At 40.5% G+C, this 17292-nt stretch overlaps 1 protein-coding gene across 5 annotated transcripts in view, besides 1 other annotated feature; it reads left to right on the top strand.

Annotated features, from left to right (window-relative positions):
- Nucleotides 16978-17247: a silencer, noted in NCBI's record as "silent region_6466". NCBI's record gives its function as "represses an Ori minimal core promoter by ATAC-STARR-seq in GM12878 lymphoblastoid cells {active_cell/tissue: GM12878}" and the evidence as "EXISTENCE:reporter gene assay evidence [ECO:0000049][PMID:35858748]".
- Nucleotides 16997-17292, top strand: part of ZNF280D (zinc finger protein 280D) — a 103334-nt gene continuing 103038 nt past the window's right edge. For all 5 annotated transcript variants that reach the window (NM_001002843.3, NM_001288588.2, NM_017661.4 and 2 more), the window contains exon 1: nt 16997-17048. The gene's annotated coding sequence lies outside the window, so the exon portion shown is untranslated. The remainder of the gene's footprint in view (nt 17049-17292) is intronic.

The following is a 17292-nucleotide window of genomic DNA, read 5'->3' as shown; positions in this document are numbered from 1 at the left end:
GGATGGCAAATAAATACATGAAAAAATGCTCAGTATCATTAGTCATTAGGAACAAGCAAAATTTTAAGCCATATATGCATTTATTAGAATGTCTAAAATTTAAAAAGATTGATCATACTAAGTATTGGTAAGGATGCAGCAGTTTCTTAAAAAGTTAAACATAACACCTGCCATGTGGCCCAGGACTGGAGTGAGATGACTGAGGAGACTGTCTCCTTTAAATTGCATCCTAGGTTCTTCTCTGGTTTCACCCTAGTCCTGGACTTGCATGTAACTTAGCCATTCTGCTCCTTCTCTTGAACTATTGTATTTGCCAAGAGTTTCACAACTTTGTTTTCACAAGTTTGTTTAAAATGGAAAAGTTGAAGTCTGAATCTCCTAGTGCTCTCTTAGCATTTCTCCAGAGCCAATAAAAATTATACAGAACATTCATTCGATTGCTATTTTACTAAGGTTGCTTCCCAATCCCCTTAGGGATGGATGTTGAATTTTATTAAATAATTTTGGCATCTACTAAGTTGATCATATGACTTTCTCCTTTAAACTTTTAACACACTGAATCAAGTTTTATTTAAAATATTTTAAATTAGGAAACATTTCAAACATACTGAAAAATACAAACAATAATGTAACAGACACGTATGTACCCACTACCAGTATTTACAGACATTAGCATTTTGCCATATTTGCTTCAGCTCACTCTCTCTCTCTTTCTTTTTTTTTCCAAGATAGGGTCTCACTCTGTCACCCAGGCTAGAGTGCAGTGGGATGATCACTGCTCACTGCAGCCTCCATCTCCCAGGCTTAAGCAATCTTCCCACCTCAGTCTCCTGAGTAGCTGGGACTACAGGCACGTGCCACCATGCCTGGCTAATTTTTTGTATTTTTGGTAGAGATGGGGTTTTGCCATGTTGCCCAGGCTGGTTTTGAACCCATAAGCTCAAGTGATCCACCTGCCTTGGCCTCCCAAAATGCTGGGATTACAGGCCTGAGCCACCACACCCAGCCTCACTCTCTCCTTTTAGATAAACAAAATGAATACAATAAAGTTCTCCATTTCTTCCCTTTCATCCTTTCCTTTCTGTTGAACTAGCATTTCTACTGAAGTTGGTATGTTCATTATCATGAATATTTTAATACATTCTATGTGATTTTATTTTATGTTTTAACAAATTTTATATAAATGGTATCATACTGAATGAATCATTTTGCAACTTGGATTCATTTCTATTTTAGTTTTTTTTTTTATTTACCATGCTTTTAGTTTGTGTTTCTTTTTTGTCTTCCGTGATCAATTTTTCTTCATTCCCTTTTATCTCCTCTCTTCATTTTAAAGTTATGTATTTTATTTCTATTCTGAATCCTCCTGCTGAAAAAACTAAAAATGTTGGAAAAAATATTAATTTTTTTCTCAGAAGCATTGTAGAACTGTCAAGGTAGTAAGGAATTACGGGCCAAAATCTAAGAAAACACTGGAATCTGGAGAGATAAGCTGAGCACGAATGCACTGAAGATGCCTTTTCTCTGAGGGAACTTGTTGATCTGGACAGATTTGAACCTTGGTTTTAGCAGATGTACCCAGGGCCTATCCAAGGAGGGGATCCTACAAGATGACCCCTCCCTAACTGAGCTAGCACCCCAAAGGGGTGTCACCCTCAGAGTAAAAGAAAACCTGAAATATACTGCTATGGTTTCAACTCATGTTGAAACTTAATCCTCAAGGAAACACTTTTAAGAAGTGGGCCTTTAACAGGCAGAGCCCTCCTGAATGTATTAGTCCATTCATGGATTAATGCGTTAGTAGGTTAACAGATTAATAAATTAATGAGTTATCTTGGGAATGAGTTAGTTATCACTAGAGTAGATCTGTTATTTTAAAAAGCCAGTAGGGCCACCTATCATAAACCCCTTTACCATGTGATACCCTATAGTGCCTGAGGACTCTGCAAAGAGTCCCAACCAGCAAAAAGGCCCTCACCAGATGCAGTCCCTCAATCTCGGACTTCCCAGCCTCCGTACAATTCTGGCTGGGTGCGGTGGCTCATGCCTGTAATCCCAGCACTTTGGGAGTCCGAGGAGGGCAGATCACGAGGTCAGGAGTTCGAGACCAGCCTGACCAACATAGTAAAACTCTGTCTCTACTAAAAATACAAAAATTAGCTGGGCATGGTGGCAGGAGCCTATAGTCCTAGCTACTTGGGAGGCTGAGGCAGGAGAATCGCTTGAACCCAGGAGGTGAAGGTTGCAGTGAGCCGAGATCACGCCACTGCACTCCAGCCTGGGTGACAGAGCAAGACTCTGTCTCAAAAAAAAACAAAAAGCAAAAAACATTTCTTTCCTTTATAAATTACCCAATCTCAGATAGTTATACTACACTCCCATACTCCCAGGGGTAGAGGTGAATGTTGCCTTAACACTGAGAAGAACAGATGAAAAAAGAAAAGGAGAGAACTCCTCCCTGAAAAGTTGTGCCCCACCAAGAATTACAGAGCTGGTTTGGATAGTCAGGGAACATGAAACCATGAAGTTGGATAATGTGGTTCTGACTGGTAGAGGAAAATCCTCACTGAAAGAAGGTAACCTTCATCCTAGGCCTCGAAGAATTCCTTTACATAATATTTTAGGGACACTAATCAGTGTACAGTAAAACACACATGTGCACATGCACATACACACACACAAACAGAAAAGATCTCATGAGAAAAAATATACACACGAAATTTAGCAGATACATGAATTATCAGACAGAGCCTATTTACAATTTAAAACATCAAAATACTCTAACAAGTGACCACATTTGAAAAGAACCAATGGTATTGTATAGAAATAAATATAAAAAATGAAAAAATTAAAAATCAGTGGACAGGCTGGGCTTGGTGGTATGTGCCTGTAATCTCAGCTATTTGGGAGGCTGAGGTGGGAGGATTGCCTGAGCCCTAGAGCTTGAGTCCAGTCTGGGCAACGTAGTGAGACTCTGTCTCCTAAAAAAAAATCAGTGGATAAATATAACAGCAAATTAGAAGACATATATATTAAGAAATTATGCAGAATGTAGCATAAATAGACAAAAAAGAAAATATATAAGAAAAGTTAGGAGACATGGAGGAGAGTGGGGGAATCTAACATTTTTAAATCAGAGTTATAAAAGAAGAGGAAGGAGAGAAAGGAGCAGAGGAAACACTTTAAGAAATAATGACTAGGGATGTTCCAGAACTAATGAAGAAACTCATTTCAGATGACTTGTCCATCTCACTATAGATCTCAAATGTTTGCAACACAGGCTATTCCATTTTAAAAACACTATTCCACTCATCATCTACAAATTTGAAGCTTCATTTATGTGTTGCTTATTTAATATGTCATTTAAAATTCCACTTTCATACTTGATAAATTTCAACTGTAGCCATCTTGGGCCAATATTAAGTTCAAAAAGCAGGCAAGTTTCAGGTGGGCCATTCTATAATAAGAAATTAACATCTTGATGCTCTACAGATATTTTAGTATACAAATTTTATTGTTAAAGGGTGGTAATGGTATTTAACATTTTCCATACTAAAATTATTGCTGCCATGTTTTATGATGTGGAACTCTGAAACATCAGTAACTCATTTGTCTGTAATTCAGAGGGGACACACATTACTTTCTGAAGACAATCTCATCCTTATTCCTAGTACTTTATTTCTTTGGCACAACTCCAAGTACCAGGTGGAGTGACTTTCTATCCATGTAGCTTTTTTTATGTTTTAATCTTTGCCAGAAAATGTCAATGCTACCCCCCCAGCTCTGCTAATTATTAAAACATAAGGCTCTGTACTTAATTAGTGACGATGAATAGATGTTTTCTAGGTATTTCTCAGGAGAGTTAATCTCAAATTCAGAGCTGTTCACTGTATTTTAAAAGCTCAGCTGAAAGAGGGCCATTGGAAGGATTTGCAATTCATTCATTTTTCTGGATACAAGAAAATCTACCTCTGGATTAAGACATACCATACATAGAATCTTGCCTGTAATGACCCAATAGAGAAATTATTTTCTGGTTTTAATTCAAGCAGTTTTGCTTTCCCAAGAAATTGATTGACTTTCTGCATTATAGACAACATATCTATTTATGGTCCAGTACCTTACTACTACTGCTTTAGGGCTTAAACGTAGGGAGACAGGATGTACGCATAGCTTTCAATTCTGTTTCTGACATAGTCACTTTGCTGTAGTTACAGACTCATCAAAATGGCCACGGTTATGACAAAATATAAATTAATTTTTATTGTTTATACCTCATTCCTTATACTCACTTCATTCCTGAGCTTCATCACATTTCTGATCTTCACCCTAGCTGAGGATGTCAGTAATTGCAGGAGGCTCAGGAATGGGCTGAAAACAGTCATTTTGCACATTATGACAAAATAAGAAAAAAAAAGTATAAGAGTTTCTATTTTAGTCTGTACCAAAATGTACCCTAGTCAAAATGATTGCATCAAAATTTTACATACTCTGGAGACTATTAATATAACAAATGCCAAATTGATTTAACAAACTTTTATTATGTCTCAGCTATGGGTTAGGTATTTGGTACATGAAAGCAATAATGAGATACTAAAGATAAGCCCAAATTGATAGCAAAGAAATTAATCTAATATTTGAGAGTAAAACTAGTAGACTCTGTACATAATAGAAGTAACCAACTATCTATAAAGAAGCAGAAGGGTCTGTGTGTAAATCAGTAACTAAGGAATTCTGGAAAGCAAGTTAAAATGAAATTCATTGAGCATATTTATTATGAGCTGGTCCTGTGTTTTTACCTGATTGAGGAGTGCCCAAAACTTCACACAAGATAAAAAGAGAATAGTCTCAGGAAAAGATGAATGTATTGCTATGCTATAATTCAATCCACCTCAATCTAATCAATTTTACCATACTTTGGCAGCAGAAGAAATATTTTAATACAGACATATTGTCCTACACGGCTCCTATAGTGGTGCAATAGATCGAAAAATGCAAAGAATGCTTGCCATTTATTCCTTCATTTGTTTATGCATTTGTCAAACATTCACGGAGTCTTGGTGTAGGTTTTGTAATAAGCATTAAAATGTAAAGACCAATAAGACACAGTCTCCACTCACAACAAACTTACAGTCTAGTAGAGAGCAACAGACCAATAAACCAATAATTATAATACAGGCTGGCTATGGCTGTAACTATTAATAATAATTACATACTGTATTAGTCAGCTATGGACACAATACTGCATAAGAATGCAGTGATTTAAAATAGCAATTGTATTCTCTAGGTCATAAGTCTGTGGGCTAGATAGGTAAGACTCCAACCCCTGGGTTTTGGGCTCCAGGATACAGCTTGGGTTTAGGTCAGCTCCATATGTTCCTCGTCTTTGGACCAGAAGGTGCCTGGGGTATGTGGTCTGTTCCATGTGTCTCACTCAGGGACTAGGCTGAATAATCAGCAGCAACCAGGGAAATACTCTTCTCATAACTGGAATAGGAGGGCAAGCTCAAGCACACAGCATATGTCAAACCACTGAATTACAGATGCTGACATCCCATTGGCCAAAACCCAAAACATATGATCAAGACTAATGTCAATAGGGCAGGAAAGAAACTATAATTGGAGTCTATAGGAGCAAATATTTGCTGAACAATAATCCAAACTCACACATACACAGTGCAATTGGAAAAAGCAGAGCGGGATTATATAACTCAAAGCTCTTGGTTATAACCAGTAGAAACAGATTTTGGAGTATTTAAGCAGAAAAGGAATTTATTAAGGAGCTATTGGTTAGTACATAAAGTCTCTTGAAAGGTCTAAAAACCAGTCCCAGAGACTATGCAACCAGGTACAACTTCCAAAATCACACAAAACTAGGCTGGAGAGGACACCACTGTTATTGCCAGTAGCACAGACACTCCCACTATAACTACCCACACCACTAATACAACTCTGTTGCTATAACTACTGGCACTATTGCCTCTAAAAATTGATTTTAGCTGCCTTCTTTGTTGCTATACATTGTCAGAGTTCTGCAAAAAAATGCTCTTTTTCATGCCATTAGCTTCTAATTCAAAATCTGGGACATATATATTTGATTGGCAGATCCTAGATCACATGCACGCCCTGATTACAAGGGATGTGGGAAAGCAAGCATTTGGCTTTTTCAGTTTTTAAAGAGACGGAAGCCTCCATCTCATAATAGCAACATCTCAAACATAGGTAGGGGACTCAGATGCCGTGTGGCAAAAAGTAAGAATGAGGAATTTCCATTACAAGCACACAGATGGAGGCAGAGGTATCAGGAAAATCTTCCCAGAGTAGATAGATTAGGTTCAAGTTGACTCTTAAAGAATAAGGAGGAGTTAGAGAGTTGACAAAGGGTAAAAATGGCCTTTGAAATAGAAAGAGTCATGAGAAAATGGCACACTTGTGGATGTGCAATAGTTTAGCACAGCTTAAATACAACGTATGGGGATGGATGTGTACGGAGCGGTCATGGAAAAGTGTCATGAAATTGTTGGTGAAAGAAATAGGAGATACATCATGAAAGCCACTTTTTGTTTTTTTGAGACGGAGTGTTTGCTCTGTGGCCCAGGCTGGAGTACAATGGTGCAATCTTGGCCCACTGAAAACTCTGCCTCCTGGGTTCAAGTGATTCTCCTGCATCAGCCTCCTGAGTAGCTGGGATTACAGGCACCCACCACCATGCCCAGCTAATTTTTGTATTTTTAGTAGAGACGAGGTTTCACCATGTTGCCCAGGCTGGTTTCGAACTCTTGACATCAGGTGATCCACCCGCCTCGGCCTCCCAAAGTGTTAGGATTACAGATGTGAGCCATGGTGCCTGGCCAAGCCTTGTATGTTATGTAATGTTAATTGGTCAAGTTATAATGTAGGAGAAAGAGAAAATAGGTATTTCATATAGAAAAGTATTTAATTCGGGGAAATATAACATTGGCAGAAAAGATGGAAGAATAGAAATCAAGGGGCTGCTATAACTTCATAGCTGAGATCTAGGATTCAGGAAGCCACTGCTGCTGTTACCATTGAGGCTGCATCAGTTGCCTCTTACATCCATGAAGCTGGTGAATGGATATCAGGACTCCAAGTTTAACTACTGTAATTGCCTCTTAACACCAACATCTTCATAACTTTGCTTGCCAATAGCAACAACAACAGAATATCACTTCTACCTCATTTTTATCTTCCAAACCTGGTGGTAGCACATCAAATTGGCAGAATCTACTACATCTGGTGCTCCGGTGGCACTACTGTATGGGGAATTTAGGGTTTTTTTGTTTGTTTATTTTTTTATTTTAATTTTTTTTAGATTTCCATCATCTCCTATTAGGAGAATGGAGGGACATTAAAGTGGGCAATCCATAGTGTCTAACGCACCATGTATGTAATTTTATGTATGAAGTTTATCTCAAGGACTATGAAAATGGTTAATATATATTTGAAGTATGGATATTACACACTTATATTTGCTTTCTGAAAAGTTGTTCCTGTGACACTGGAAGGAATTAATTGCAAGAATATACAATAAAATATTTTTGTAGTAATTCAAGCGAGATATTATAGAATAACTAGGAATTGAGAGTAAAGTAAGTGTTGGGGAAATACAAAGAAGGTAGACGCTTCAGAACATGGTACAGGGTCACTTGGTTATAGTGGGTTAGAGAAAGAGAAGATGAGGTTTACTCTCAGTTTTCAGAGTTGGATAACTGAAGGAGTGGTGACATGATTCAACAAAATGGAATACAGAAAGAAAAAGAGAAAGAAGCATAATTAGTTCTAGAAATGTTGAGCTTTTAGGTCCTGTGGGATAGTTACAAGGAGTTTTCAAGTTTGTGATAAGATATATGGCTCTGATGCTTTGGAGAGGGATGTGGTTTGAAAGTATAAATTCAGAAATCATGGCCACATAGATAAAAGTCAGTATCACAGGAAAATTCAATGACATTGTATTTGGATAACTAACACTAGGTACTAAAACAAATTACCAAAAATTCTTACTGGCTTAAGATAATAAGGTTTATTTTCTATGCACCTCATGGTTCAGAGCAATCCTCTGATTTTGGTGGGGGAGATATTTCTATTCCATCAACCGTTCAGAAACCTCAGGTTACTTCTTTGCAGTAGCTCCCATGTCTTCTAGAGCTCAGAATACTCTGGTCGATCCTCTGCATCTGACTGACCCAAGAACAAAAAAAGCTGGGAGAATGTTAACAAGTTTTAGGGGTCAGGCTAGAAGTAATGTTAGAATGGAGCTTCTCCACCTGGGCGCAGTGGCTCATGCCTGTAATCCCAGCACTTTGGGAGACCAAATCCGGTGGATTACCTGAGGTCAGGAGTTTGAGACCAGCCTGGCGAACATGGTGAAACCCCGTCTCTACTAAAAATACAAAAGTTAGCCGGGTGTGGTGGCACACACCTGTAATCTCAGGTACTCGGGAGGCTGAGGAAGGAGAATTGCTTGAACCCGGGAGGCGGAGGTTGCACTGAGCCGAGATTGCGCCATTGCACTCCAGCCTGGGTGACAAGAGCAAAAATACATCTCAAAAAAAAAAAAAAAAAAAATGGAGCTTCTCAAACTATCTGTCAGAAAGGACCAATTAAAAAAAATTCCAATCCACTGCAGACCATTACTTTTGTAAAAGACAATAAAAATGTTGTAACGTTGTGAGCACAGAGGGAACATATTTCAAAATAATAAAAGCCACATATGAAAACCCACAGCCAACATTTTACTGAAAAGTTAAAAGCATTCCTCTTAAGAACTGGAACACACGAGGATGCCCACTTTCACCACTCCTATTCAATATAGTACTGGAAATACTAGCTAGTCCAATCAGCCAAGAGAAAGAAATAAAAGGCATCTGAATTGGAAAAGAGAAAGTCAAATTATCTTTGTTTGCTGATAACATGACCTTATATTTAGAAACTCCTAAAGACTCCTCCAAAAGACTGCTAGATTTGACAAACGACTTCAGTAAAGTTTCAAGATGTAAAATCAACATACAAAAATCAGTAGCATTTCTATACACCAATAACAATCAAGCTGAGAACCGAATCAAGAACTCAATCCCATTTACAATAGCTGCAAAAGAAAAAAACATAAGATACCTAGGAATACATTTAACCAAGGAGGTGAAATATCTCCACAAGAATTATAAAACATTGGTGAAGGAAATTGTATATGACACAAATAGAAAAACAACCCATGGATTGGAAGAAACAGTATCACTAAAATGACCATACTGCCTAAAGCAATCTATGAATTCAATGCAACTCATCAAATTACTAATGTCATTTTTCACAGAATTAGAAAAAACAATCTTCAAATTCTTATAGAACCAATGCCAGGCATGGTAGCTCATGCCTATAATCCCAACAGTTTGGGAGGTCGAGGTGCAGATTGCTTGATCCCAGGAGTTTGAGAACAGCCTGGGCAACATAGCGAGAACCCACCTCTAGAAAGAATTTGAAAAAACTTAGCTGAGTGTGGTGGCATGTGTCTGTAGTGCAGCTACTTGGGAAGCTGAGGTGGAAGGATCACTTGAGTCCTGGATGTTGAGGCTGCAGTGAGCTGTGATTGTGCCACTGCACTCCAGCCTGGGTGACAGACTTGGACTCTGTCTCAAGAAAAAAAAAAAAATTATGGAATTAAAAAAAAAAAATCCTGAAGAGCCAAAGCTCCAAGCAAAAAGAGCAAAGCTGGAGGCATCACATTATCTGATGTCAAAATATACTATGAGGTTATAGTAACCAAAACAGCATGGTAATGTAAAAACAGACACATAGATCAATGGAACAGTATAGAGAGCCCAGAAATAAAGCCACATACCTACCACCAATTGACCTTTGACAAAGTCAACAAAAATACACACTAAGGAAAGGATACCCTAATTCAATATATGGTGCTAGGAGCCTCTGTTACAGGATTGAATGGTCACTGCTGGAGTGATGAAAAGTTGCTGGATTCATGAAGACAGGAAGAAAAAACAGGCAAACAGGAAGGAGCAAAGCCCTTCTTCTTCCTCCAGTCTTCCAGTCCCTCTTTAGTTCCCCCTATTGGCAGAGCCTACCAGCAACTGGCAAGGCACAAATTTGTTTTGTAGAGTCCTAGCTCCCAGCATCACAAAGCAAGAAGGGTGGCTGTGGAACTGGAATAAATAGTAGTTTAACTTGCCCACAAGCCAAGGATACAGCTGTAGGTAAAACCCTACAGAGGGTATATTCAGCTTGATCCTACAGGGAAATTCTGGAGTGTAAGTTATTTGTCTAAATTGTTCCTACCCAAGACAGGGGGAGCTAAAGCTTCCATACTCCTGCATTTATCAGTCATTGGTTAAGAACTGCCCTTGAGGGATATAATTTCCCAGGGACTTCCAGTCCTTGTGAAAGCATGCAAAGTAGTTCCAAAAGCCTAAGGACAGTCCTGTGAAAAAGAGTTGCAGATCCCAGCTGTTGAAAACAGAAGCACAGTGAAACTTCAGGTAATGGGAACACTCAAAAAAGGTAGATGAATATCACCTACCTTTAAATACTGAAGCATCAATAGTATTTATTCTGGAGGCATAGTTCTAAAAGCTGCCTATTTCTCTGCTTTTTTGACTAAATTTTTCTTTTTCAATTTAATGGCCGTTACTTTGAGGCTATCTGAAATAATAGGTGCTATCTGAAACATATGTAATCTGATCTTTTCCTAAGTGAAAGTCACTTTGTACTGGTGCTTCCTTGCTCAAAGCCTTTGAAAGTCACATCTCTGTTTGGAATGTAGAAGAAGTAGTGTTTTCCAACCCTGCAAAGTCCCCCAGTGGTGGACTCTCTCTATTACCTTTCATTTCTGTTTGTAATGTTAGGGCTCAGAGAACGATACCTCAAAGTATGGGGCTTTGGGGTGTGCTGAGCACTTCTGAATTAAAGAAACTTGGAAACGCTTAGAAGTTGCCTCAGAATAAAGGACTTTCTAAACTTCTTCTGTCCTCGCAACCCCCAAACACAGGGAGAGGCTCTCCCTGGAAGTTCCCTTATCTTTCAGAAGAAAACTTTTTTCAAAAGAAATTGCATTTCCAAAGAAATGCAATTGTTCTAAAGCCTCCTCCCTAGGAATCTCATCAAATAACCAGTGAAGATTAACCATAAGGAGAAGAGAAAAGACTAAAAGTCATCATCATGCCCAGACAGACTGTTCCTCTATTCTTCTCAGGGCAACTGAGATTACCTGGGAGACTTTATCTGCATAAGAAGACCGTCTTTGTTCATTTCCGTTGCTCAGGCTGGAATGTAGTGGCAGGATCATGGCTCACTGCAGCCTTGAACTCCTGGACTGAAGGAATACTCCCGCCTCAGCCTCCTCAGTAGCTGGGACTACAGGTACATACCACCACACCTGGCTGCTGCTCTTCTTACAATAGTAACCTGAAGTAACCTGATATTAACCAATCAGTTTTCTTTCTATTATTCTGTCTCAGTGCCCCACCTTACAAGGAAAGTAACTTTGAAATGACCAACTTGTTTTTTGTTGTTTCTTCTTTCTTCAGTCCTTTATCTGTCTATAAAGTGAACCACATCTGTTCCATTCATGGGAACACCTATTCTATTGGTGTTCTATTGCCCCTCACCTTCCTTCAACTTGTTGCCACCTCCCTCAGAGCTCAGAAAACTTTGTCCCAGACCATTGTCTGTTCTTTGAGCTCATTCACGTCTTCTGAAAATCATTTGCTACCCCTCAAAATTGCTTATGTCTTCTATTTTCTTCTCTGCTATGAAGAGGGTATTTGAGTGTCAACTGTCTGGCCCTTCTTTGAGTCTTATGTTTTGTATGACTCCTGTGCACAGTACCATGTGAATACCTTTGTATGCCTTTTCTCCTGTTATTCTCTCTGTTGTTGGTAATTTCAGCAGACTCAAACCTTCAGATGTGAAAAATTTCCTTCGCCCCCAACAATAAACTGGTTAATTCTGTTCTATGCTAATCTCCTTCTGATAACATCTTGCTAAAAATATCAAAAATCACCAACCTCTACCATTAATATTGCTTTCTGAACTCTTCCCTTAGCTCTACAAGTTATGTAGATACTAATCTGCCTTGTGAGATATTGTAAGCAAGAGTTTAGCCACTGCCTAAAGTGAACCTTCAGCTGTCCACCCTCCTACATCTATTTCCTCGATTCCCACCTGATTGCTGTGCTAAGCTAATGACACACATTTTAGTTTTTATCATTGTAGGCCATCACTATTATTAATCAGAGTTAGTGATTTGAGCTATTGCAACAAACCACCCTCAAATCTCAGGGTCTTAACCCAATAAAGGTTTATTTTTTGCTCCAATCAGTCCAGTGAGGATCAGTGTGTTGATGCAATTTTTAAGAAACCCAGAGTCCTTCTATATAATGTTGCTGCCATCCCCCAGCTTCTCAGAGTTTTCTGTATCTAGCTGACTGGTGTGTGAAAAACAAATAGGAACTATAAATTACTGGAAGTTTTAAGGTCAGGCTTGCATGGGAGGGTCACTGCTTCTGTTTACATTCCACTGTCCAGAATTAGTTACACAGCCCAATATAAAAGGTAAGGAAGCTGGGAAACATAGGTTTCCTGGGTGCAAAGAGGAAAATAAGATGGTGAATATGTATCATTATCTCTGTCACACTTAACGATGATTTCAGTTGCAGGTAAGAGAAAATTCAACTCAAATTGGCCTTGTGGGGGAGGAAAAACTTTTCTTCTACTTTTTGAGGTTCTATAATTGGGGGCCTGTGAATAAACTGACAAAGGACAAGAGAAGACAGATTTTAATCACATATGTACGTAAGGAGATCACAAGGAAGTGTTGACTCCAGAGGGTGGTTAGAATTTGGGGCTTAGAGACTGATATACTTCCCTGAAGGGGAGGGGGAGAAAAGCACTTATGGGAAAACAAATGACTTCTTAGAAGGGGAAGGAGCAGAAAGGGAACTTACGGAAATGACTTTTGGGAAAGATAAATGGGCCCTTTGGAGAATAGATGGGAGATATCATAGTTGTTTTGACAATGTCTGTTTAGATGTGGTGACATTCTCATAGTCTCTGACGGTGACTCAATCTTCCTTGGTTGCTCCCTGGAGGGAATTTATAACAATTGAGTTCTTTTGGGTTCTTTTGAAAGGCTCTGCTTTTAGGTAGATAAGGGATTTCAGGAACATAAACATATTCAGCTCAAAATAATTTTTATGCCACAATGGCTTATTCTGGATCCCTTCAGCTTAAACAACAAAGGTGATTTATTAGCTCATAAACCAGAAAAGTCTAGAGGCAGTATGGGTTCCGGTGATGTTTTATTTGAAGGTTTATGATTCTCTCAGGGATTGGCTTCCTTTCCCTATGATTGATTCTCCCAGCTATTCCTCCTTCACGTGTTGGCTTTATTTTCAGTTGGCTCTACTTAGTAGCAAAGAAAAAAAAAAGAGGGAGAATGTAGCTCTTCCAGTATTTACATTTGAATGCCATACCATTCAGAGAAAAAAAAGAACTTCTGTATTCTCTGCAATAAAACAAAAATCCTAGGCTTCCCTCTGATTGGCCTCTGAAACAAAAACTAGTTCAAAGGGTGAGGGTAACTCTGATAACTTTTGGCCAGTTGGACAATTCTTGGACCTGCTGTGCGGTGTATTACGTCTGTCCAAATTGCATGGATGAACACAAAGTAATTGTGGAATGAAAGCTGGGAGATCACCCATATTCACTGCAATAATTCAGGTAAGGATGTGGAGCATAATCTCACTTAAGGAGAATGAGTACTGTGAGGATATCTATAGCAAGTGTGTAACATGTAGAACAGGCTGAGAATGTAAGTCAGAGAAGCTCATAAAAAATGGTGGGAAAGCTCAGACCGTAAGTCAGGAGAACCAAAAGAACGGCGTTCTAGAGGCCAAGGGCGTATGATGTCAGAAGTTTGAAGGACGATGTCAGAATCATCCAAATAACTTCCTGTGTGCTGATTCTATTCTCATGAGTCATCTTTTGTAATTTGGCCTCTCACGTAAATGTTCCTTTGAATGAAAATACATTAACCAGCTTTTTGGTCTCCATGGCAGTTGTGTTTTTCATGAACAACAACAAAAAATAATTGCAATTTTGGCTTACACATGTGTCTCAGTAAGTTTGGTTGGTATGAATCATCCCCCAGGATTCAAATTAGTTCTGGAGACTGGCAACATTGAGCTTTTGTCTCTACAAAGTGAGGACTAGACTCTAGAATACAGAGTGCAATCTTCTCTTTCATCCTGTTATAAATAAAAATAATAGGATGCCATCATTTTATTATTTTTACTTTTTATTTTCATAGGTTTTTGGAGAACAGGTGGTGTCTCGTTACATGAATACGTTCTTTAGTGGTGATTTCTGAGATTATGGAGCACCCATCACCCGAGCAGTATACACTCTACCCAATGTATAGTCTTTTATTCCTCACTCCCCTCTCACGCTCTCCCCGGAGTCCCCAAAGTCCACTCTATCATTACTATGTCTTTGCATCCTTATAACATAGCTCCCACTTACGAGAACATACAATGTTTGGTTTTCCATTCCTGAGTTACTTCACTTAGAACAATGGCCTCCAATTACATCCAGGTTGCTGCAACTGCCATTATTTCATTCCTTTTTATGAGGATGCCATTATTTTGGACCAAACTCCTGCACTAAGCCCCAGCAGACTAGACTAAAAACCAACATGGAGTTACCCATGCTCACAAAACTGAAACTGAGTTGTTATGTGGCCTTCTGAGAAATCAGGAGAGAGATAACAGCCTAATTTCCCAAACAGGCCAGTTTAAACCTTCAATCCCCATGATAATGAAGTTCCCTGTTTTAAGTCGTTTTTGTTTGTTTTTGAGACAACGTCTTGATCTGTTGCTCAGGCTGGACTGCAGTGGCAGGATCATGGCTCATTGCAGCCTTGAACTCCTGGACTGAAGGAATCCTCTTGCCTCAGCCTCCTCAGTAGCTGGGACTACAGGTACACACCACCACACCTGGCTGCTGTTGTTCTTACAATATTAATCTGGAGTAACCTGGTATTAACCAATCAGTTTTCTTTCTATTATTCTGTCTCAGTGCCCCACCTTACAAGGAAAGTAACTTTGAAAAGACCAACTTGTTTTTTGTTGTTTCTTCTTTCTTCAGCCCATTTTCTGTCTATAAAGCCAACCACATCTGCTCCATTCATGGGAACACCTATTCTGTTTTACTGAATGAAGTGGTGCCTGAATCTAGAATTGCAATAAAGCCAACCGAGATCTTTAAATTTGTTGTAATTTCACCTGACACTGTAGCATGCTTTGCTAACCTTTAGGGACATTTGAAAAACGATGTCTTAAGAATGTTCCAAGATTTTGGAATTTTTAAACTTTCCATGTTTGCTGTTTTGACTATTTTCTGTCTTTTCCTGTAAGGTTTATTTTTCAGGGCCAGCAGAAAAGGGAAAGCTGGGTAGATGATCCCAGGCCCATGTGGGAGAAGGATAGGTCATGGTTACCTCCAAGTACACCAGATCTGTAGGAGTGATCCAGGTGGTCTTTGGGGAAGATTAATTTGGGGGCAGTAATCAATATGGAGACTACAGTAATGATAAACACTTGAGAAAAACTGGGGAAAGCCAGATGAGAGAGAAGAAACTGAATTCGAATAGGAAGATGAATTAGCAAGATTCAGTGATTGAACAGGGTGTCTGTTATGGATCCTAACAGGCAAGATTTCAAGTCTTGGTCACTCACAAGCTGCACCAGTAATGCCATTGCTCTTGAGAAGACAATCAGTTTAGGAAACTTTCCTTACAGATCAGAATACAACCTTTAGCAAGTATTTACGCAAGCAGTATCTTGGCAAGTGTTCTTCTTGTAAATTTCTTATACTTCTCGTTGTCAAACTTTAAAAAATGCTATTACAGGTTAATATGCAGATGGCAGAGTTAGGAATTAGAGTGTGCAAGTTAATCATTCTAATTGGGTCACTCTTGTCATAGCCAACTAAAAGAATGGAGAAGCCAGTGCTGGGGGAAGCCCTCAGGGCACATAACATTGCTCTAAGAATGGAATTCTCAGCAAGCCTGGCTGCTGAAACCGCCTGCTGTAACCTGAAACAGGTTTTATCTTCAGGTTTTAGCTTCTCAAAGAACCTGCTGCAGCTGTAGGGCAAGCTTTACCAAGCCCCTTCCCTCACCAGTCAGAACTAACCAGCTACCCAAAACTTTACTAAATGTCAACGAACTTTCTAGAAAAACAATAGATAACTTTTTTTAAAAAATAAAACCCCCTAACTCCTCTTTGTTCTTCTGACATACTGAAGACCACCCTGTATGTGTAAATAACCTGAACTTGCAATTCCTGTGTCCCAAATAAAACGCTAAATGTACAGATTCGTCTCTTCGTATTTGACCTCGACAGGGAACGCAAGCAAAACCACACATTTAAAACAGACTTGGTAAAATCAGCTCGTTATTTAAAGAAACGGACGATTCCTTTTTCTCTCCTGGTTTAGTCTTCGACCCACAGGCCCCTTGCTTCTTTCGAACGGCGGCTGTATCCCATGACCTTTTCACTTTCCAAGCCAACGGACTGGGGGTCGTTACACACGCGGAGGGCCCGGAACGCACGGCTCCTCGCCTGCAAATTCCGAGCAGTCCGGATTTTGGGGCTGCCTCCCGGCCACACCAGCCAGCAGCTCGCACCCACATGGAGGCAGGGCCCTGGCCCTCGCCCCGGACCGGCGCGTGGCGGGGCGCGTGGGTCTTCGAGGGCCCGCGACGCGGCGCACATGCCGGTGCCCGCCTCCCGCGTCGGCGAGAAGACAGGGAGCTCGGACACGGGGAGGCTGACCCGGAGCCTACCCATGAGGCAGCGCGCCGGCTGCACGAGAGCCCCCCCCTTTCCACGGCTCGGCTGCCAGCTCCGCAATGGGAGCCGCCGCCGTCGCCGCAGTGTAGTTTTTCGTGCTCCTCCTTTTCCTCCTCCTCTTTCTCCTCCTCCTCAGGGCTCCAGTCAGGCCGATCCGCTCCGCTCACGGTAAGCGCCCCCCCGCCCCCGCCCGCCCTGCGCTGCAGCAGGCAGAGGCCCTCCCGCGCGGCCTGCGCCGCCTCACTCCGGGGGCGCTGGACTGGGGGTCTTGAGGCCGGCGCGGGTCGTCGGGAGCGCCCAGAGCGCGGGGGAGGAGACCGGCTGCGCGGCGGCGGCCGGACCGCCATCTTGCGTCGGCCCAGGCGGGGGAGGAGGTATCCCGGCGCGACGCGGCAGCCGCCTCGGCTGCTGC

The sequence above is a fragment of the Homo sapiens genome, chromosome 15 (genome assembly GCF_000001405.40).
Source record: "Homo sapiens chromosome 15, GRCh38.p14 Primary Assembly".
Taxonomy (NCBI): Eukaryota; Metazoa; Chordata; class Mammalia; order Primates; family Hominidae; genus Homo; species Homo sapiens.
The sequence above is the reverse complement of the archived record's forward strand: the minus strand, read 5'-3'. Positions and strand labels throughout refer to the sequence as shown.